General features: G+C 32.4%; 1 protein-coding gene and 1 long non-coding RNA gene across 19 annotated transcripts in view; one reads left to right on the top strand and one right to left on the bottom strand.

The window, feature by feature from the left end:
• EPHA6 (EPH receptor A6) overlaps nt 1-23,348 on the bottom strand; it is a 946,939-nt gene that overhangs the window by 346,430 nt on the left and 577,161 nt on the right. For 9 of the 12 annotated variants that reach the window (XR_001740110.2, XM_017006211.2, XM_006713592.4 and 6 more), the window contains one exon: nt 9,829-9,953. The exons of 2 other annotated variants lie outside the window; for them this stretch is intronic. Coding sequence is in view for 8 of the 10 variants with exons in the window: in XM_017006211.2 (XP_016861700.1) it covers nt 9,829-9,953 (125 nt within the window). In the remaining 2 variants the exon portion in view is untranslated. Of the gene's footprint in view, nt 1-9,828; nt 9,954-23,348 lie in introns of those variants that run through there. One more of the 12 variants, XR_924126.3, reaches the window with a different exon arrangement.
• LOC101929278 (uncharacterized) overlaps nt 20-23,348 on the top strand; it is a 114,015-nt gene continuing 90,686 nt past the window's right edge. For 3 of the 7 annotated variants that reach the window (XR_924240.3, XR_924236.3, XR_924244.3), the window contains exons 1-4: nt 20-109; nt 981-1,051; nt 2,548-2,671; nt 12,099-12,125. This is a non-coding gene — a long non-coding RNA (uncharacterized LOC101929278). Of the gene's footprint in view, nt 110-980; nt 1,052-2,547; nt 2,672-3,727; nt 3,817-12,098; nt 12,126-23,348 lie in introns of those variants that run through there. The other 4 variants (XR_007095967.1, XR_007095966.1, XR_924242.3 and 1 more) reach the window with 3 other exon arrangements.

The following is a 23,348-nucleotide window of genomic DNA, read 5'->3' as shown; positions in this document are numbered from 1 at the left end:
ATGTTTGCATGATAAACTGCCCTAATGGAAGAGGACTCTGAGTTACCTTTTTCGAGCAAAGCCACCTAGGTTACTCTGTTTTCCCCAGAGTGACCCTTCTGTTCTGCAAGTAAGTCAATCAGAAAATGCTCTCCAGGCCATTTTAATATGAAATACAAAAGCTTAGAAGTCCTCTCTAAATAATTGAAGGCAACCATTAGGAATATAGCCAACCAGTCTCTTAATGGAGAGGTCATGAGGGACAATAGGCATAGAATCTCTCTGAAAAGTCCAAGGAACATTTGGTGGTTTACAATTGATTTTTCTGGGCAGATTTCCTTTTTTCAAATAGTAATTATATCAGTGTCATTAATAATGGCTGTTGCAAGGGGCTTTGCTTTACTCTCCAAGGCAAAAATTATATCTGGTCAAAGAAGCCTCATAATTATTTCTAGTTATTTGAAGCAGAATACAGACTTAGGTTTTTTTCCCTTTCATTTGAGAATCTAAGACACTTAAGTCTACCCTTGAGGAATGAGGATAATAATAGCAGAGCCGGGAAATGAAGCAGCTTACTATACATCGGTTACTATGCGGGAATAAACTAAAACAGTTTCGTTGTAATAGTTTAAGTATCAGAGCACTTTTGTAGTAATTATTTTTTCTCTAAATTTTAAAGGTTTGATGCATTTCTTGAGGGTGTTAAGTACCTATCTAAATTAAGAAAGTAAGGCATTTTCTAAAAGAAATTCCTTTCTAAAGAGGTGTACTGATTAACAATTAGAAAAGATGAGCCAAATATCAGAGTTGGGAGAATTGGTTGAAGCAGGGGAATGCCTCAGTGTTTAGCCATGCCTTTATTAAGATATTTATTTGAATATATTAAGTAATACAAATCTATATAAAAAATTATTGGGAAATGGCCTTTCTCAATTTAATTTTCCTATTTCAAAACTCAACCCTATATCAGACCATTATTTTATATAGATTTTCTTATTAAGATTTTCAGATTGAAGGGAGTAGCAGTAGAGTATCAGAAGTATCAGAAGCAAAAAAGTAAATGTATGATTTGGTAAGTATGTTTGTACTTGTAGCCCCAAATAATGATTGTTTAAGGAATAGACACAAATATGGTAGCATTTTTAATTGCATCTGAAATGAACAAATCTTGCATTTGTCTCCAGGGAATATGACTCGGTCAACTCTTTGGTAAGGCCAGTTATCAAGGAAAAACTTGCTAAGGGTTAGATAACATAATCTAGTTGCAGCTCTTATCTTGAAATTTATATTTAAAAACTAGTAAGATTTATCTTTAGGTATTTAGGTATTTAGTCCTTCATCATTTGGGGATAGTAAATTAGGTGCCTGCCTTGTACTTTTGGCTTGTGAAAGAAAATATAATCTCAGGACCCCAAACTCACCGTGCCAAAGGGAAAGTAAAGCTTGGGAACTGAGCCATGCAAAAACTGCTTTCCTTTAGTTCCCAGACAGAGAACTGTAATTTCACAACCTTGTATCATAGCCTCATTTCCATTGCACTCACTTTTCAAAGGCTTAGTTTATCTTATGTAAAATGTAGATTTACTAACCAAGGCAATGTAAAATTGACTTTTTCCTTTACTCCCTGTTTTCACACATAAAATGTAGATTCATTGGGGCTAATCAGAGCCTCACACGAATGTAACGATCTGCCTCACTTCCTACCCTCCTTCCCCTTTTCTCCCTCCTGCTTGCTCTTTCCCCTGTAAATACTTAAGTTCCCAAAACCCCCTTTGGAAAAAACTCAGGTCACAGATGCTCCAATGGCTGTACTTTTTTCCTCAGGCGCATCCTCAACCTTGGCAAAATAAACCTCTATCAGTTGAGACCTGCTTCAGTCACTTTTTGGTTTACAGGCTTTCAAAAGTAGGAACATTATATTTACATTTTTCTTTGCTGGAAGAGTAGTTTTTTGAAGGCTGACTGCACTTTGAATTCATGGCAATGCTACATTTTTTAAAAGTGGTGTCTGTGAGTTTTGTTTCTTTGATTTTCACCAAACTACAACAGAAATTTAGAGGAATTTTGAATTTATGTCCTTGTTACTCCCCAGAAGGCATTTTCTTAAAAAAAAGAAAAGCAAAGAAAAGAAAAATACTAATAATCCCAAGCTACACTGATTCTTGGTGGGTATTAGCCCAAATGCTTAAAAGGGACATTGTGATCTCTGATAATTTACCATTGCAGATAACATAACCTCTGGACTCCCCAAGTATATCCCACATTGTATTATTTTCTTTCCTCCAAACAGTACAGTTTCTTTAACAGAAAGTGGACATTTTTTAGAAGAAAATAATCATTTAAAAATAGCTTTATATTTTTTCTCTTTTCTTACAAATGCAAAACTTGATAGTATATGTAGATTTCCAGATTGCTGAGGAAATTGAATTACTGTTTCATCCTTATCTTTTTATGTACTTCTCTGTCATTTTTAATTTATATATACGTATACATAATATTTTCACTGAAAACATCAAATGTCTCATTCATTCCTTAGTCTTATTTGATTTTTTCTATCACCTTGTATAGCAAAGCATAACAAAATGAAAAATAAGCTTCTGCAGTCATGGAAGTTCAGAATTGGATAACAACTTAGATTATTTATTCCAACCTCATCGAAAAAGAGATAAAGACATGGAATTCAGGAAAAGTGGTGAGGAAGCAAATTCAGAAATGTATGACTAGGAATATGGAAGCAACTGAATATGAGGTTAGAATGTGAAACTGAATTTAAAGGTGTAACTTGGGCCTGACTGAAATATAGCAATTTAGCAGAAGTGGGATTAATTATGTAGCCTTACCTAGTTGTACACAAGATCAGGCTGGGACTGAAATTCTACAATATGACTCCATACCACCAAAAGAATTCCAGCCCTCTGAGCAGTAGGAAAGAGAGTTTTGTTTTCTTGTAACCAGAACATAAACTTTTGATAGTCATAACCTTTATTTCAGTCTATAAATTTAGATATTGATGGGGTTCAAAACATTCTATCCCCAAATATGGCACCATGGAATTTGAGCAAACGGCAAAAGTAGAAAGATCACCCTTTGACTTTCTCCTGCCCTCCTCCTCTGAAATCAGGTCAAGAGCCCCTCATTTGAGAGGTGCTGTCCCTATGCCCAGAGGAAAGAACATCCTTATCTATAAAGACACAAATATATAAAAAATAATCTGAACAGTAGGTCTTGTTAAGCGACTCCCCCTGAGTTTATTACCACTGGATCATATCCCTTTGCTTAATCACACTTCCGTGCAACTGTCCACTTTTGTTCAAATCTAAGCATAAAAATACATAGGTTTCTCTGTTTCTTTGGGTCTTTATATCTGAAGGCTCCTGGCCTATGTAAAACTCACATTAAGTAAATTTGTAGGCTTGTCTCTTCTTAATTCGTTTTTATAAGGACCTCAGTCATGAGCCTAGAGATAGAAAAGAAAGATGTTTCTTTTCCCCTATAGCATATTCAAAAGTGTAAATGAAGTTTATTCAGGGTCCTTAGTTTTACCAACTATTTTTTTCTTTCTTGGATATACAAATCTTTAATACACTAAATGCAGCTTCTATAATTTTAAACAAATACATTCTTCAAACCAAACCAAAGATAGAATAACTTTTATAAAACAGGAGACACTTTAGAGGTATAGTTAGCAGATATTTGTAATTTTCATGTGTTTGCAGACTCTGCAATGTTGCTGTCAATATATTTTTAGTTTCTTCCTGTTTGATAAGGGTATACCATACAGATGCTGCTGTGGATGCAGTATTGGCCCCAGTCAGAGTCTTGCTACCATGAGAATCTCTGCTCCAGGCACTATGGTCCTCCCTGGGCTTACTAAGCCAGACAAGCTTCCACAGAGAATGTGATGTTTATTGAACAACATGGAAATTGGATATAAAACCTTTATGAGTGTTTGTATCAGTAAATTCCCTTGCTGTCCATTTTCTTTCAGGTAATGCTGTTTTAATTAGTACCAAATGCTCACATCTAATTTCTCTGTGGTGGACACTGCAACAAATAATTATGAAAAAAAAAAAAACTTGCTGATTCCACTGTAAACACTGAATTGTATCCAAAATTGACTTGGTCCTTTACTGCATTTTGCTTCAGATTAATACTTGTAGTTCTGATGTCATGTAACACCTACAGATCAACAACATCTACAAATCATGTAAAATCTACAGAGATGCTAGCCAGTTATAGAGACATAGCATGTAAGTTCACGTCTATGTTGAGAGCATTGTGATTATTTTCCCCTTTATCAACACTCGATTAAATGAGGTGAAGGAAAAGTAGGGCTTCTAGAGACTGACAACTCAGAGGAATGCTGGAATCACATAGGAGTTTGCTAGGAACCCAAAATCTCATGTTACCACCACTAACACTACTCATTCGCCCAATCAAATATATTACAATCTGCATTTCAGCAAGATCCCCATGTGATCCATATACACTTTCCTCAGTCACACTTTTCTTAGTTCCTTGTGTAATAACGACATTTAACTTTGTATGATAGTTTACATTAAGGTTTACAAATGTATGAATTAGATGGTCACAGGGAAAGGGACAGGCAGAGAACAAAGATGTGTTTCTGTACCTAAATAACAGATGGAGGTAAGAGTAGCTTTCCTGGAAGTAAAGATAAAATTCTCTTCCTCCCTTGGGCAAACACTTAAGTAAAGGAAATACAACAAAAGAAAATGAGAAATGTATATTGAGCAGCATATAAGAAGGAAAGATTGTTTTTCTTTCTCATGTTGATTATTGCTACAATAATTGCTTCATGTATTTTTAAACAAAGATGCATGTTACTGATTATCTATCTTTAGAAAAATGAGGGATAATTATTAGGTTGTTATCTGTGGAAAAACTATATTGAGAAAGTAGAATAACAGGATTACGGAGGAAGAAAAAAGACTTATTGTGCAAAGTGTGATATTGAGGAGTATGCGACTTTCAGAAAAGACACTAAGACTTCAACCTTCTTTTAAAAGAGGCTACTTTAAATCATCCCTGATTGATAAAAATATTTCCCATAATGAAAAGCTTTCCACAAATCTCCTTATATTTTTTAAATAATACACTGTCCTCAGTGTCACAACATTATTTATTTTTAATTAAAAAGCAAAGATAGTTTTTCTATAATCTGTGAACTAGGTGAAACACTGGCAGGTTATATTAATTCATCATTTCATATAAATAATTATTGAACATCTGGATATAAGAAATGCTACCTTTTTCATGATGAGTTTTCTTAAAATCTAAAAACTGCTGACTGTGATAAAAATTAACAAGACCACTTTGAGAAAAAGACTTTAACAGTCACAGTGTCTTAAAATACTGGATGTGAGAATAATGAACTGTTATGAGGGGATTCATGTTTGCAAAATGAGCTACCAGTTGATAATTAGGGGAGCTGTACAATACCCTGGTGAGATAGGTATGTTTTATTCCTGCCATTTTGCAGATGCAAAATTGACATGAGAGAGTAATGAAGTGTTTGTCCTCAGGGAACCTAGAAAATCAGCATCAGCAGAAAGCACTGACTTTCTGAGACATCTGCTGTGATGTAAGGTATGATGGCCAGTTTTAACACCCACTTACTGGCTGTGTGATTTTGGTAAAGATACTTAACCTTTTTGTGCCTTAGTTTCTTAATCTGTAAAATGGGAAGAATAATAACATTTTCCTCAAACATATGTTGTTAGGAGTAAATTAGCTAGTCCTTGCAAAACACTTAAAAGATTACCTGGCATATAGTTGGTCAACAATCAGTATCTATTAATTACCATCTATGGGCCTCTCTGAGCACTAAGGATAAGAAAGTGAACAAAGTAAATCCTTGCCCTCAAGAGCTTACATTCTTGTCCTTAACAGAATGTTCTCTCAGCTGATGGACATATGTGTATAGGTCTTTCTTATGAACAGGTAGAAACAGAAAGTCTTGCTGGCTTTCTTTGTTTCTTTTCTGCCTTTAAAAAACTTGTTAGAGGTAATTTTACAGTGGCTGCATCATTTCTTAATTTCCTGGGAATGAGTTCTGAACAAAGAGAGAATTTTACTAATTCAGCTAGAATGTTATTGAAAGGAAATAGCTGTGTTAGGCAAGGATTGAGGGTTGAAATCAATTCTTTTCTTCAGGGACTCATAAACTACTGGGGGAAGTCCAGATCCACAAATAAATAACTCTGATTAGGACTAATTTTGGTAAATATAACTGTTAGAGTCTGAATGTTTATGTCCTTCCAAAATTCATATGTTGAAATCACCTCCAAGGCCATGGTATTAGGAGGTGAGGTCTTTGGGAGGTGATTAGGTGATTAGGTGATCAGGGGTGGAGCCCTCATGAATGGAATTATTGCCCTTATGAAAGAGACCCCAGAGAACTCCCATACCCTTCTGCCATGTGAGGACACAGTGAGAAAACCACTGTCTATGAACCTGAAAAGGACCTCACCCAATGCCAAAGCTTCTGGAGCCTTGGCCTTGAACTTCCTGCTTTCCAAAACTATGGGAAATAAATGTCTATTGTTTATAAGCCACATAGTTTATTAGTTTTTATCACATAGCCGAAACAGACTAAGAGAATAATGAAATAACAAAGAAGCAAGAGAAGGAAGTGTGCCTTGCTTGGGCAGAGAAAAAAAGGAGAGGAAAGAGGGAAAAGTAGGGAGGAGAAGAGAAAAGAGGGCACAGGAAGAAAAATTAAGAATGTGAACACAAAGGGTAAGGACAGAAGGGAACAGAGATAAGAGAAGGGTGCTATGGTTGGAATGTCCTCCCAAAGTGCTAGGATTACAGGCATGAGCCACCGTGCCCGGCCTCATTTTGAAATTTAATTGTCATTGTAACAGTATTAATAGGTGGAACCCTTAAGAGATCATTAGGCCATGAAGGCTACACCCTCTTGGGTGGGATTGGTGCTTTATGAAAAGGCAAGTATGGCCCTCTCCTTCCCCTCTCTTTGCTTTTCTCCTCTTCTGTTGGGTGAGGAATAGCATTTCTCCTCTGTGGAGGATATGGCATTCAAGGAGCCATGTTAGAAATGAGGAGGGGGCCCTCACCAGACACCAAACCTATTGGCACCTTGATCTTCCCAGCCTCTAGAACTGTGAGAAATAAATTTATGTTTCTTATAAATTACCCAGTCTCAGATATTATGTTATAGCATCACAAAACAAACAAAGACAAAGGGTATACTTGCTCTTCGATATGAATAGAAGCGGGTTTGGACTGTTTTGAAGGGGAGGACTGAGAAGTTGGGAGCAGATGATGTCTTAGTTCCCTCATTATAAGAATGGGCTCTACTGGAGAGCCTATTGGAGAAAAGCAGTATTAGTAAGTGAATAAAAAAATAAAAAAAATAAAAAGTTTTGTAACTTTTCTTGACTTCCCATATTATTTTAAAGTGCCTTTCATAGTCAAGCTGTATTCACTTGAGTTAAAGGAGAATGAAAGACTGAGTATGAAAAAGAAAAGTGACTAAAAATTAGGGAATGTAATTAACTGAATAAGGAATATCTAACTAATTATAACCCATAAAGCAATATGTTTTCTTTCTGACATATCACTCTTAATACACACACACACACACACAAACACACTCAGACACATCACACACACAGAGAAAGAGAATAATGCTAGGGTCTTAATTTTTACATATAATTATGATGTTAAGAATACTGCTCTCTATGGTGAGGTATTTTAAAAAGGTGTGTGTGTGTGTGTGTGTGTGTGTGTTTAATTTCAGTAGATTTCAATGAAAAACCATAGTTATCAGAGGGATAGGATAACATTAAGATAATTTATCTATATAACAGTACATACACAAACATTAGCATTTGACAATAGCTAGAACTGTAAAAGATTACCTAGATCTAGATCTTTCTAGGTCCTTTTAGAATCATATTAATTTATAAAATTTTGATTGGATGAATGTGGTTCTCTTTCTATTACATCTGTATGATTTATCCTAACTTAGAAATATTGCAAGTCATTTTCATCCTCAAACATATCAGGTATAAATGACTATAAAATTAGACAGTGATTTTTCTATGTGTAAAATATAACCCTTATAAAACACAGAGAAATATTTTGATTCTGAAAAGTTGCTTGTATATATATGCACATTGCTTGTTAAATAGTCAGAAATTTTGAGTGTATGAAAATATATTTAAACCAGTCAACAGAAAACATATGCTTTCTTGTGATAGTGTGCTATAGGCTGTAACATTTGAAAGGCTAGCCCAGCAGATTTCTGAGCACATATTGGCCAGGATAATTTGCAGAATCTGTATTCCAATTTAAACTCAGTAAATTTGTCCTTTCTTAGGCTATGGATTTATCTATGTCACTTAAAGATAATGACAGTTTTTATTGACTACATAATGCTGAAATTATTAGAGCAACAAAAAATGGATACAGCTATGCTACTAAGTTACCTCTCCCATTATCAAACCTAGATTAACTCTGAAGCAGTAGAATAGAGGAAGGTATGTGTTATGGTTAATGTCCCTGCCAAGCTTATGTTTTAATTTGATTGCCATTATAACAGAATCAAGAGATGGAACCTTTAAGAGGTGATTAGGCCATGAAGACTATGGCTTCATTTGCGGGATTGGTGTCACCATGGGAGTGGGTTTCATATTGCAGAAGTAAGCTCCTAATAAAAGGATGAGTTTGACTTCCTTTTGCTTCTCTCTCACCCTGGCCTTGCCCTCCCACAATGAGATCAATAACCAAGAAGTTCCTTTCCAGATGCTGGGTCCTCGATCTCAGACTTCTTCGTCTCCAGAACCATAAGCCAATAAATTTCTGTTTATTATAAATTACTCCATCTGTGGTATTCTGTTACAGCAGACAAAATAAACTAAGAAAGTAGAGTTCTATTTCTCCTCTTGCCCTCTATTTCTTCAGAGGAAGACTAAATTCCTTTATGATTTCCTTTGCTTCTAGTAAGGGACAGAAATGCAAGATGTTCCTTCTCATTGTAATATACCACTGGATATTACATATAATTTTTACATTAAAATTTTTATTTAACATTCCCTTTGCATACTTCTAGAAGTAGTATTAAGACAATAAGACACTTCAGAATTGACTATGTGGTCTGCTGTAATATTGATGCCAAGAATATCATAATGGTGAGGAATGAGAGAAAAATGCATAAAGAACATAAATATAATAAAGGGAATAAAGTATATAATGGGGAAATATACTAATGTATGACAAAAATGGAAATAAGGGTTCCATTATTATAAATAAGGATTTGTCAACTGAATTTATCTTGCTAGCTTATAAAATAAAATAGCTAACCTGAATGTAAAGAAAGTGTTTCATTTATATGCTATTTCTATTTATCCCTTAAATAATACTTTCCAAATTATAGCCGACTGTAACTCTAAACACACTGGCAAAGGATATGTGCTACAAAAACCCACTTCAGGTTATAGTAATTCAATATTAAAATTTCTTCCCATCTGAATTTTAGAAACAATTAGCAACCAAACTATAAATTGAATAAATTGAAGAAGTTACTTCTTCTTACAATATTATAAAACTCTCTAGAGTAGGTCATGACAGAAATGAACATCTTACATCTTCTACTTTAATCTGACACAAAACAAGATAAATTAATCAATAACTTACAAGCAGAATAGTAAGTTAGAGAGGATTCAAAGAAACAGAAGGTATGAGGCTAGGCCAAAGAAGAACAGGGTTTAAAATAAAATAATATAGTATAACGACATGCTCAATATATACATATATATGCATATATATGTAGTTTTATAGGAAGCTCCAAATAAGACCTACTTTCTCATAGTACTTGATCTCGTAGTCCAGAATGGCTCCATTGGAAAAAGCAGGTGCTTGCCATGATAGGGCAATGCTATTTTGGGATGCCCAGTCCTTCCTTACCACACCTATCAGGGAAGGTGCTGAAAGGAAAGAAAATAACTAAGAATTAATTGGCAGGAATCATTTTCCATTATCCTTTCTTTAATATTTTCTCTTCCAAGGAAAATAAAATTCTTGTTGAAGAGGACACCATTTATTGAAGGCAGATTAATAAGATAGCCTTACGATATGCTCTATTCGATCCAAATAAGGCATTAAATATATTTAGGAACACTCTTAGGGAACACAGGAAAAACTCAAATATTCCAAGAGTAAGGGCCAGAACTCATCATCTTTGGTATTATTAGGGGAGGATATTTTTCTTTAAAATGGTTTTGGTCTTGAGCTATAACATGAAATACAATACACTTGGCTCGTATGTTTTATCAAATATTGATCTACTGTAGGAAAAAACAAACTCTGCAATTACAAGATCATTTATAGGCTTCTCCCTTTCCTCTAGACATTTTAAGGCTTCAAAAAAGTTTATATTATAAGCTTTATAACTGCAATAAATGATTGTTTATGAATGTGAGGATTATTTCTTTTGCATAGTTTCTGTGACATTAAACAAAGTTAAAATATTTAACTTTAGAAGTTATTTTCAGAATCATGTCTATTTTACTTTTCCATATATTATAATTCTAAATTAAAATAATCTGTGTTAAGCTTCTAACATATAACTAAACTATATATCTCTCAGATTCTTCTCTTTGCACCTTTTAGAAAATACTTTTTAAGTATTCTAATTTCTAAAAAAACAGCAGTTTTTGACATAAAAGTCAACAATCATTCAGAAAAAATAAAATCCAAATTAAAACACATTGATACGCCATTTCTCACGTAACAGATTGGCACAAAAAAAGTACAAAAATTTGGTAAGACACTGTTGGCTAGGCTGTAGGATAAAATACTTTACCACATTGTTGGTGGTAATGCAAAATGATACAACTCTTATGAAGGGAAGCTTAAAGATTTAAGGCAAAAATTATGTATTTATTTATACTTTGGCTTTTTGGAATCTCTCTCAGAGATACACTGCACAACACAAAGTGACATATTTACAATACCATTCCTGGAGATTTATTTCTAAAGATTGTAACAATCTAAATGCCCATCAATAAGAGAGTGGTTGAAAAACTATGCTATATCCACTAGAGAATTATGAAGTTATAAAAAGGAATTATGGCTATCTATAAACACTAGAATAGAGTTATTTCAGAATATATTTTTAACTGAAGAAAGTAAGGTGAAGAAAAATGCATAAAAAAGCTGTAAGGATAAACCTAAGAATAACAAATAATTATAATGGTTGCCCTTAGTGGGTGAAAGGCAATAGGATAAACACTACAAGGTTAGAAACTGGACATCTATGAATATATTTTGCCTTGCAAATTTACTTTGTAATATAAAAATATTATAAATGATTAAAAATAACTTTAAAAGGCCGGGCGCGGTGGCTCACGCCTGTAATCCCAGCACTTTGGGAGGCCGAGGCGGGCAGATCACGAGGTCAGGAGATCTAGACCATCCTGGCTAACACGGTGAAACCCCGTCTCTACTAAAAATACACAAAATTAGCCAGGCATGGTGGCAGGCGCCTGTAATCCCAGCTACTCAGGAGACTGAGGCAGGAGAATGGCGTGAACCCGGGAGGCGGAGTTTGCAGTGAGCGGAGAGAGTGCCACTGCATTCCAGCCTGGGCGACAGAGTGAGACTCCGTCTCAAAATAAACAAATAAATAACTTTAAGAACAATTTTGAAAAATCAACAGAATCATCAAATGAAGAATACTGTATTGAATTGGAGACATAGCCTCCAAGAGGGAACTGTTAAACATAGCTTTAAACACAGTGATTTAACACAAATATCAATGGGATATTAGAATTAAATAAGAAATTTAATTTGCTTTAAGAATTAAATAAGAAAAACTTTTTTCTTATTTAAAAATTATTAAACTGTTTTAATAATGATATTGTTGATGTTAGTATTGGTATTGTAATTTTGAAGCTGTTTCATATATATATAAAGTTATGAAGCAAATGAGTAACTATGTTGTATTGAGAACTAGATTTTTTCCTCCTGAGGGAGAAAAAATAAAAAGTGTCAGATATATTAAGGTAAATAAAAACTCCAAGTTAGAAGTTACATTATAAACTCATTATATCTTTCCAATTTATTTTCAGAAATCTACTTAAATGTACCAATCACAGGTGAGAATTAGATTTGAAAAATTGATTCTGTCATATTTCAATTTCTAAGAAAGACTTAAGTATTAAAAGTTTGGCATTTTATTTCTGAAGGTTGCTTTTGTGTTCTAAGGACAAAGTATTTTCTTAAATTTGTGAGAATGACAAGTTTGGTTTTTCTAAGGAAATAAGGTCTTTAGAAACTACATTTAAAACTCTTTCTGGCTGTTCAATGGGAACATTATTTTTGATCTAGAATATATTCTCGAGAGAGAATTACAGAAGTCACTAGGAAATAAAAGTTTGTCATATGAGCTAAAACAGAAATGAATAATGTCGCATATAAGAAAAAGCACTCAGATAATTCACTATTTAAAATAAGTCCTAACTATAGACTGTAGAAACACAACAAGACCGCTTAAAAAAACAAGACCTAACTATGTACTGTTTACAAGAAACTCATTTCACTGTAAAGACACAAATAGACTGAAAGTGAAGGAATGGAAAAAGACATTCCATGCAAATGCAAGCCAAAAACAAGCAAGAATAGCTATACTTGTATCAGGTAAAATAGAGTTTATGTCAGAAACTTTAAAGAGACATTTATATAATGATGAAAGAATCAGGTTAGCAAGAGGATGTAACAATTGTAAACATATATGCACTCAACACTGCAGCAACCAGATATATAAAGCAAATATTAGATCTAAAGAGAAAGACCCCAATACAACAGCAGTTGGGGACTTCAACACCCTACTCTCAGCATTAGAGAGCTTATCGAGACAGAAAATCAAAAAAGTAATATTGGATTTAAATAGCATTGTAGACCAAATGGACCTAACTAATAGTTACAAAACATTTCATCCAACAGCTGAAGAATACACATTCTTCTCATACACATGGAACATTCTCCAGAATAGACCACATGTTAGGCCACAAAACAAGTCTCAACAAGTTTATAAAAACTGAAATAATATTAAGTGTCTTTTCCGATCACAATAGAATAAAATTAGAAATCAGTAAGATGAACCTCAAAAACCACACAAACACGTGGAAATTAAACAAAATGCTTCTGAGTTACCAAATAAACAAATCAGGAAAGAAATTACACATTTTCTTGAAGCAAATGAAAATAGAAACAAAACATACCCAAACCTAAGAGATATACAAAGGCAATACTAAGAGTGAGGTTTATAGCAATAAGTTCCTATATTTAAAAAGTAGAAATATTACAAATAAAAAATCTAATGATGCATCTAAAGGAACTAGAAAAGCAAGAACAAATCAAGCCCAAAACTAGTAGAAGAAAAGAAATAATAAAGATCAGAACAGAAATAAACAAAATGGAGATGAAATAATACAAAACATCAATGAAATTAATATTTTGAAAAGAGGAACAAAATTGACGAACCTTTAACTAGACTAAGAAAAAGAGAAAGAACACCCAAATAAACAAAACCAGAAACAAAAAAGAAGACATTATAACTGATACCACAAGAATACAAAGGATCATTAGAGACTGTTATAAACCACAAAATGCCAACAAATTAGAAATCCTAGGGGAAATGAATACATTCTTCAACATATACAAACTACCACGGTTGTACAGTGAAGAAATAGAAAATATGAACAGACCCATAATGAGTAACATGATAGAACCAGTAATAAAAAGTCTCCCAACAGAGAAAAGACCAGGAACAATGGCTTCATTGGTGAATTGAAGCCATTAATTCACCAAATTAATTCATTTAACAGCCACCCTGTTAAAGAAGAACTAATACCAATTTTTAACTATCACATCAACAGAATGAAGGACAAAAATATAATTATCTCAACAGATGCAAAAAAAAGCATTTGATAAAAATCAACATCTCTTCATTATATAGACTTTCTACAAATTAGGTATAGAAGGAATGTACCTTAGCACAATAAAGGCCATATGTGACAAACACACAGCCAATATCATACTGAATGGGGAAAAGTTGAAAGATTTTCCTTTAAGAACTGAAATAATACCAGCACATTTACTTTTACCACTCTTTTATTTATTATAGAACTGGAATTCCTAGCCAGAACAATTAAGCAAGAGAAAGAAAGAGAAGGTATCCAAATTGGAAAGGAGGAAGTAAAATTCTCCCTAATTGCAGATCTCATGATCTTATATACAGAAAATTCTACAGACTCTACCAAAAAACTCTTAGAATTAATAAACAAATTCAGAAAAGCTGCAGGATAGAAAATCAATGTACAAAAATTCTATACAACAGTCATAAATATGCTGAAAAAACCAACAAGGCAATCCCATTTAAAATAGCTGCAACAATAAATAAATATCATATCTAGGAATATATTTAACCAAGGAGATGAAAAATCTCTATAATAAAAACTACAAAACAGTGATGAAAAACTTTAAGAGGAAACAAATAAATGTAAAGACATGCTATGCTCATGGATTCAAATAATTAGTATTGTTAAATCACCATACCACCCAAAGCAATCTAGATTCCATACCACCCCTATCAAAATAACAATTATATTCTTTACAGAAATAGAAAAAACAAATCGCTGAAGCAGTTTTGAGGAAAAAACAAAACAAAACAAAAGCTGGAGGCATCACACTGCCTGACTTCAAAATATATTACAAAGATATAGTAACCAAAGCAGCATGGTTCTGTCATAGAAACACATTTCAATACCAATGTGATGGAACAGAGAACACAGAAATAAACCTATGTATTTTCAGCCAGCTGATTTTTGGCAAAGATGCCAAAAACATACATTCCTTTCCTCAATATATGTTTTTGGCATCTTTTCAATAAATGGTGCTGGGAAAACTGTACGTCCACATGCAGAAAATGAAACTAGATACCTATCTCTCACCATATACAAAAATCAACATAAATGGATTAAAGACTTAAATGTTAAGACTCAAAAATATAAAACTATTTAAAGAAAACACTAGGGAAATGCCTCAGGACATTAGTCCAGGCAATCATTTTATGAATAGGTCTCAAAAGCATAGGTACCAAAAACAAAAGCAAAAATAGACAAACGAGATTATATCAAACTAAAAGCTTCTGAACAGCAAAGAAAACAATCAAGAGTCAAAAAACACCTGAAAAACAAGAGAAGATATTTGCAAACTACTATTCATTCAACAATGGATTAATATCAAGGACTATACATGGAACTCAAACCACTCAACAACAACAAAAAACAAATAATCCTATTTAACAATGGGCAAAAGATCTAAATAGACATTTCTGAAAAGAAGACATACAAATAACTAACAGATATATAAAAAATGCTCATCATCACTAATCATCAGGAAAATGTAAATCAAAATTACAATAAACTATCATCTCACTCCATTTGGATAGCTATTATCAAAAAGAAAATAAATAACCAGTGCTGGTAAGGATACAGAGAAAATGGAACTCATCCACTGCCAGTGGGAATGTAAATTAGTGCAGTCATTATGAAAAATAGTATGGAGGCTTTTCAAAAACTAAAAATAGAACTACCATATGATCCAGATATCCTACTACTGGGTATATATCGAGAGGAAATGAAATGAAAACCCTAAGCCCCCCACATCATGTTTATTGCAGTAGTATTCACCATAGCTAAGATATGGAAGCAATCAAAGTATCCATCAACAGATGAATAAATAATGAAAATATGTAACACACACAATGGAATACTATTCCACTGTTAAAAAGAATGAATTTCTGTCATTTATGGCAACATGGATGAGCCTGGAGGCCATTATGTTAAGTGAAATATGTAAGTCACAGAAAGATAAGTACTGCATGTTCTCACTCATCTGTGAAAGCTAAAATATTTGATCTTATTGTACAGCATAGAATAATGGTTACTAGAGACTTGGAAGGGGAGGGAAGTGGCTAAAGAAAAGTTAGCTAAACAATACCAAATGACAGCTAGGTAAGAGAAATAACTTCTAGTGTTCTACAGCACTGTAGGTGACTATAGCTAATAAGCTATTGCATATTTTTAAATAGCTAGAAGACAGGATTTTGAATGTTTCCAACAAAAAATAAATGTTTGAGGGGATGTATATGTTAATTACCTTGATTTCATCATTACACAGTATATTCATGTTCAAAATATCACACTGTACCCTATAAATATATACCATTTTTATGCATCAATTAAAACTAAAAAAAGAATTCATGAGGCAAAAATATTATACTTTTATGTTGACAAGGAATAAAATGAGTGGAAAAAGAGTATGTATTTAGTAAATTCATTCTCACTATTACATTAAACAGAGAGACTACTCTTGGGTAACCAAAGAACACAATTTAGTGATTCAAAAGAAAACATAAGTTTTTGAGATATGTTCTTTATGTAGCAACCATATGTACTATTTTTGGCATAACAAATGAAGAATATTTAAATGAAAATATGATTACATAAAGTTGTATCCAGTTCAACTTCGGTAATTAAATCTCAATCAATTCATTAAAAAAAGAACAGAAAAAGTGCTCAGATAATTTGCCATTTAAATTAAGACACATTCGCTCTTAATAAACCACCATTAATAAATTTGTCCCTGTTGGAAGCTGCATTAATGTTCTTGAATTATAGTGTAATAATATATTAAATCGTGCTTGATGGATAAATTATAACTTTAAAGGGAAATCATATAAATTAGAGGTTGATTTAAACATATCAATTCATTACAATTTTTGAAAATGTCATTTTCATATATACAATCTTATGGTTAATTTTCAGTTTAATGTACAATGTCTAAAGCAATATTACCAGTGTTTTACATTTTGCTTCATAATGATTTAGCACTCAAGGTCAGCATTATAATCCTTGCAAAACTTAAAAGAAATTCAATTATAGCCACAGCATAAAAGAATGACTACTGAGAAAAATATAGGTACTATTTTTCTATTTCCAATTCTCCAGTGGGCAATTAATAGTACATCTACATCACCTAAATTTTACAAGTTCCATCCTATACTTTTATAAAACGGTAACAAATAAAAATGGATTTCATGGTCCAAATGTCCTAAACCCTAAAATCTCTTTGCTTTTGCACATTCCTTTCATATGTTAATATACATATTTTACATAGTTATGAAGTGTACATAATTTTACATAATTCTATTTATTTTTAACAATGCATACTAAATCCAATTCCATATTTTGAAATAGTATCTGTAATTATTATTTTAATTGCTAAAATACTCCATTCTGTATACTTAATGAAATCATTCCTCTAATGTTGAAATTTCCAATACTTTCCTATTAGCGTTTTCACGGTTCATGCATAAAGTTTTGATTTTGTTAAATTTTTATTAAGAAAACTGCTTCATATAACTTGGATATTCTGAGACATACTATGTAAGAACTGAATCAATATATATTAAGCACACACTTTAAATGGTTAATGAATTAAAGGAGAGGATGAGAGAAACAATTTACAGGTCAATATAAACCCCCAAATGCTGGATTTTCTGTTTTCACAGAGGCCAACAATATATAGAATTTTATTTTAAAATGAGGCTTCCATATATGAAAGCTGCAGAGTTAGTTTTGAATATATTTAATGATTTCTTTCTTAATAATCCAGGATTATATGACATTTGATTCTGACATATGGTGGTAACACTCTTGAAGTAATGAATAAAAAGCAGAAAATATAGCATATACATTTATTTTCCATATGAGAAAAACTGATTTTAGGACACAGAAGAGCAACTATTGATTTTTATCTCTGATGCTAAAAAGTCAGGGAAAAAAAAGCAAGAAAATAAAATCTAGAGTTTGTAAGATCAGAGGCTGATGGAATAACTTGAAGGCTCAAGCAATATTCCCTGAGTAAGAATTATGTATTCAGTATAGTTTTCAGCAGAATTTTATTGCTGATATACATCCTTATTTAAGTCTTCAAAATCTTAGCTTTGACCTTCAAGAAAAAGATGGTTGAATAGATAGCTGAAATGGTTTTAAATATAAACCTTTCTGATGACTACGTTTCCAATAGTTTCCCAAACACTATGTAACAAAAATTTGAAGAAAAAAAATGTTTAGGGGAATTAGTTAACAAAAGAGGCCTCATTTACAATTAGATGAGTATTATTTTCTTATGCTTATGTGGAGATAGCTGAAGAAATCCTAAATTAGTCTGGTTAACTATTTTGCTCTCAAGACAATATTTTTATTAAATACTTATTTTATACCATGTATATTTATCTTACTTCAATCTCATAAATCAATGGAATGGAGACTGTCTTTATTTTAAAGATAAGAATGCTAAATCTCACAGGAGTTGAGCAATTGTTTAATGAAGAGATGTGAAGGTAAATTTTAATATTAAATCAAAGTGCTACGAAAGAATTGAAAAATTACATTTTTTACTACATTTTCTCCTAAAATGAATTCCAATTTAGTGTAATGAGTTCAAAATTAAAATCTATGTTCAAAACTAAAGGCAAGAAATAAAATAATGTCACAAATATCCTTGTTGCCTTTGAAAATGTTATTTTTTAATTTTCCTAATACTATTATTCAAATTCACAATATGGATAAATACAAATATGCATTATTTTGAAAATTCAATACTTATGATATGGGTTATAAAGTTATGTTTCTAAAACTGTATTAAATAATGCTAATTCTCAGTCAGCTATAAGCATACTAGATATATTAAGGTTTACCTATCAGGGTGTGTGCGTGTGCACGTGCTCATTGTGTGTGTGTGCATGCGTGCATATGTGAGAAAATGAGATACACAGTGAGAGCACACTCATATACACATGCTTGTGACAATGAAAATCTTAATATTGAATGCTACAAAATAGAATCTTAGTATGAAGATAGACCTTATAAGCCATTTAATATATTTTTTCCAGCAATCCGGAAAATCCCTTGACGCTTAACTTTGATAGCTTCTTATCCATTTTTTGCTTCAGCATTAATGAGTACCTTACTCCACAAGGCTATCGATTCCTTTTTGTAAACCTCTAGTTGTTTAAAAAGCTTTCATATGGAATCACTGTCTTCCTGTAACTTCCAACTATGTCCTAGGTTCTAATTTTTAGCATGAATAGAATTAACTCTTCCACCTTCCCTCATCTATCATCCTCTTTTCTTTTCTCTCCTTTTTTCTCTTCTAAGATGCCCCTGCCTTCCTTCTTTACTCTTTTCTTTCTTCATTTACTTTTTAAAATGCTTTTTACTGCCTTATTTCTTTACATTTTTCTTTTATTTTCTTCCTTGTGCCTCTTTTAGGACAGGAATGTGTGTGTGTGTAGGTGTGTTTTAAGGGAAATATAATAAAAAACTCAATGAAATGTCAATAAAGAATAATACTAAAATAAAATAAATAATACAGACCAGAAAGTACAAATCAGAACAAAATTTTAAGACTATATAATTTTTTCCTTTCTCTTTACAAATGAACTAACGGGTATAATTGCAAAGCAGAAGCACACAACAGTGTTTCTTTCTGTGTATGCTCAGGAAGGAGACAGTATAATCAAAAACGATAATTTTACCTGTGAAATTCTGTAGATGTGATACATGTTTATCATGTTAATTGACATTTTTTGAAACCTGAGAACATGTTTCAAAATACTTCTGACCTATATTTTGTTTTGGAAATGTTTCTTAAATGTTCTGTGCTTTAGATATCACAATAGTTCCTAAGAATATCTGTCTCCTGTGCTTTTGTTTTTATGTTTTTTTCTTGTAATCAGAGTTTATTGGTAATATATATTGTTATCTATTTCCTGCATGTGGTTGAAACCTAGTTATGAGTTTGAAATATACATGAGACTTATATGCAGCAAGTTAGTACTTTATCTTATGTTCTTCCTTGTTTTTTTTTCTTTCTGAATTTGAAAATAACATTGTAGTATGTTAAACCAATATGACAGCTGTACTGTAATAAAATGAGTAACAGCCCTGAAATATCACATCTTAATTCCCAGAATCTGTGAATGTTCTTTTATGGCAGAAGCTTTGCGGTTTTTATTAAGTTAAAAATTCAGAGGTGGGGAATTAGCCTGGATTATCTGGTGTGCCCAAAGTAAGCACAGATGACCTTATGTAAGAAAGGTATATGGTAGTTTTATTTTTAATTTTTTGAAAAATCTCCATACAGCTTTCCATAATGGCTGTACTAATTTACATTCCCAACAACAGTGCATAAGAGTTCCTCCTTTTCTATATCCTTGCAATCATTTGTCACTTTTTGTCTTTTTCATCATAGCCATTCTAACTTGGGTGAGGTAATATCTCATTGCAGTTTAGATTTGCATTTACCTGATGATTAATGATGTTTAATATTTTTTCATGTACAGGTTGGCTATTTGTATGTCTTCTCTTCAAAAATATCTATTCAGATATTTTGCCCATTTAACAACTGGATTATTTGGGTCATTATTATTACAGTGTTGAGTTGAGCTCCTTATATAATCTGTATATTAATCCTTTTTCACATTCATAGTTTACAAACATTTTCTCCCTTACTGCAGGTGTTTTCTACATTCTGTTGATTATTTCCTTTGCTGTGCAGAGCTTTATAGTTTGACCTAATCTCAATTGTTTAGTTTTGTTTTTGTTGCCTGGGATTTTGCAGTGTTATCCAAAAATTCCTTTCCTAGACCAATGTCTTGAAGTGTTTTCTCCATGTTCTCTTCTAGTAGTTTCATAGTTTCACATTTTACATTCATGTCTTTAATCCATTTTAAGTTGACTTTATTAAGTGGTGAGAGACAGGGATCTAGTTTCATTCTTCTGCATGTGGATATTTTGTTTTCCCAGCAATGTCATATATTGAAGAGACTGACCTTTCTCCAGTTTTTGTTCTTGGTATCTTTTTTGAAAAGCAGTTGGCTGCAAATAGATGGAGATATTTCCAACAATTCCAGTACTGGGTAAATAGCCAAAGGAAATGAAATTCATATGTTACAAATTTATGTACACCCATGTTCATTACAATACTATTCACAATTGCCAAGAGACTGAATCAACCTGACTGTCCATCAATAAATGAATAGATAAAAAATATGGTCTATATACACAATGATACACTACTCACCCATAAAAATAACAAAATCCTGTCATTTGTGACAACATGCATGAACCTAGATATTATGTTAAGTGATATAAACCCAGCACAGGACAAATGCCACAAGATCTCATTCATATGTGTCATCTAAAAAAGTCGATCTCTTAGAAGTAGAGAGTAGAACAATGATTACCAGAGTCTGAAGAGGGTAGTGGGGAGCAAAATGGGGAGAGGTTGGTCAATGAGTATAAAATTACTTGTTCACTCTTCCTACTTCCTCCTGCCATGCCAGTGAGATGCTGGTAGCTTGATAAGACATTAGTGAAAGAATTGTGAAAACGTTTGCACAGAAAACTCTCACTATCTGTATCTGCCAGAGTGAAAATTCTCTGTATTAATGATGAGTTGAAATGCCACAGCACTGTCAGCACTTAATTACAGAGGTGAGACCAGACAAGTTATCTTTAAAGTTGTCAGGATAATCTGTGTCTTTTTAATTTCTCTTTGATAAGTCTTATGACTGTGATTTAACGTGCTCACTGTTAAGCTTGTCTTTAGCTGCTGTTTTCAGTAATTTACACCATACACATCTACTGACTATTATTTAGTTCCAGAGGCATTTGAAAAACTGCTTATATAACAGGTTCTATAAAATTCAGTTTCTTTGAAATATGAGGGAAAAAAGTATCCTCAAATTGGACCACTCTGAGATTCTTCTGACCTTATTATTACTTGTCATGTTTCAGTAAAAAGAATATATGTTGTACCACTACTTTCTAGGAATTTAGCATAGGCTATTCTCCCAAATCTCAGAAAGTTGGCCTGGCCATAAAGAAAAATCAATCATTTGGCCTACCTCATCTGAACATTAAACAAATTCCTCATTTATAACATCTGTTTATATTAAAATCAAGAACACTGGTTTCTAGTGATTCTTCCAGGCAAAAGTATTATTATTTGATCTGTACAATTATACAAATTACATATGATAATTTTAAAATAGGTTTTAAATGTAGAAATATCCTAGGTATATTTGAATATGGTTTGTAACTTCTGGGCGTCAGCTGATTTCTGATTTCCTCAACAAAAAGTTTGCAACATGTTCCAAGTACAGAAAAAAAAAGAGCTAATTGAAAAGCTATTTTAAAGGTAAAAACTAAAATAATATGACAAGTCATTAATAAGTAGATGACTAAAATCATTTTAACTAATATTACGGAAAGGAAGCAGCCAAGTAATAAAGCTTATAGAGATATAAATCTTTAAAATATTTTAGTATGAGCAGATAAAGCTTTACATGCAAATTTTATGGTTGCATTTTGTAAAAAGTTTAGAAACAGAAGAAATTAATACATTTTAAAAAGTATGTATATATAGGCATACAAAAATAAGCATAATATGTAAAATGTCAAAAACAAGTTACAAAAAAATATGTATGACATGATTCCATTTTTTTTGTAAATAGCAATACCCCCAAATCCTATATGTGATGCCATGTATATAAATATACACACACACACACAGACACACCCCCATATATATGTGAATGCATTAGCAATTTACCATGCTAGCTTAGTGAAACTACATGTAAGAAGAGCAAAACAGAAGTATATCTTGAAATTGTGCAATAGCTAATGATTTTTAAATTACCTTAACAAGTAATTGTATTATTCAAAATTCTTAAAACAGTTTAAAGGGAAAATAATTTTATTCCAAAGAGCCTACGTAAACCTAATCTTAACTCATGTCATATTCTGAATATTTATTCTAAGATATAATTCAAAATGTTAATACTTTTCAAAATGTAAAGCCCAAACGAATATATTTATAAGCTGTAACTATAAAGTAATATATGTGGCTTATTCTTCAATTTACGTGAAGACACAAAATTGCGGTGGCAGCTAGCTAAAAGACCATTGGCTTCAAGAGTGTCTTAAACCATGAAGCTTTATGAAAATTAGACTTATAAATTTTATAAATTTGCTTACTGGATGTCTCATGAAAGAAAAAAATATTTTTCTGTTGGACCCCTAAGGTACATAAACAGACAAGAAAATTTCAGTCATATTTTGGGGCTGTGAAACAACCCATGAATAACATTAGGCATTTTAGAAGAGAGTTCCCATTTAAAGACTTTCATTCATAATATGAAATAAAATAGCAGCAATTACCTTTTTTTCCCTTAAGATAGAACA

Source organism: Homo sapiens, chromosome 3 (genome assembly GCF_000001405.40).
Source record: "Homo sapiens chromosome 3, GRCh38.p14 Primary Assembly".
Classification (NCBI taxonomy): Eukaryota; Metazoa; Chordata; class Mammalia; order Primates; family Hominidae; genus Homo; species Homo sapiens.
This window is presented reverse-complemented; position numbering and strand designations above follow the sequence as displayed.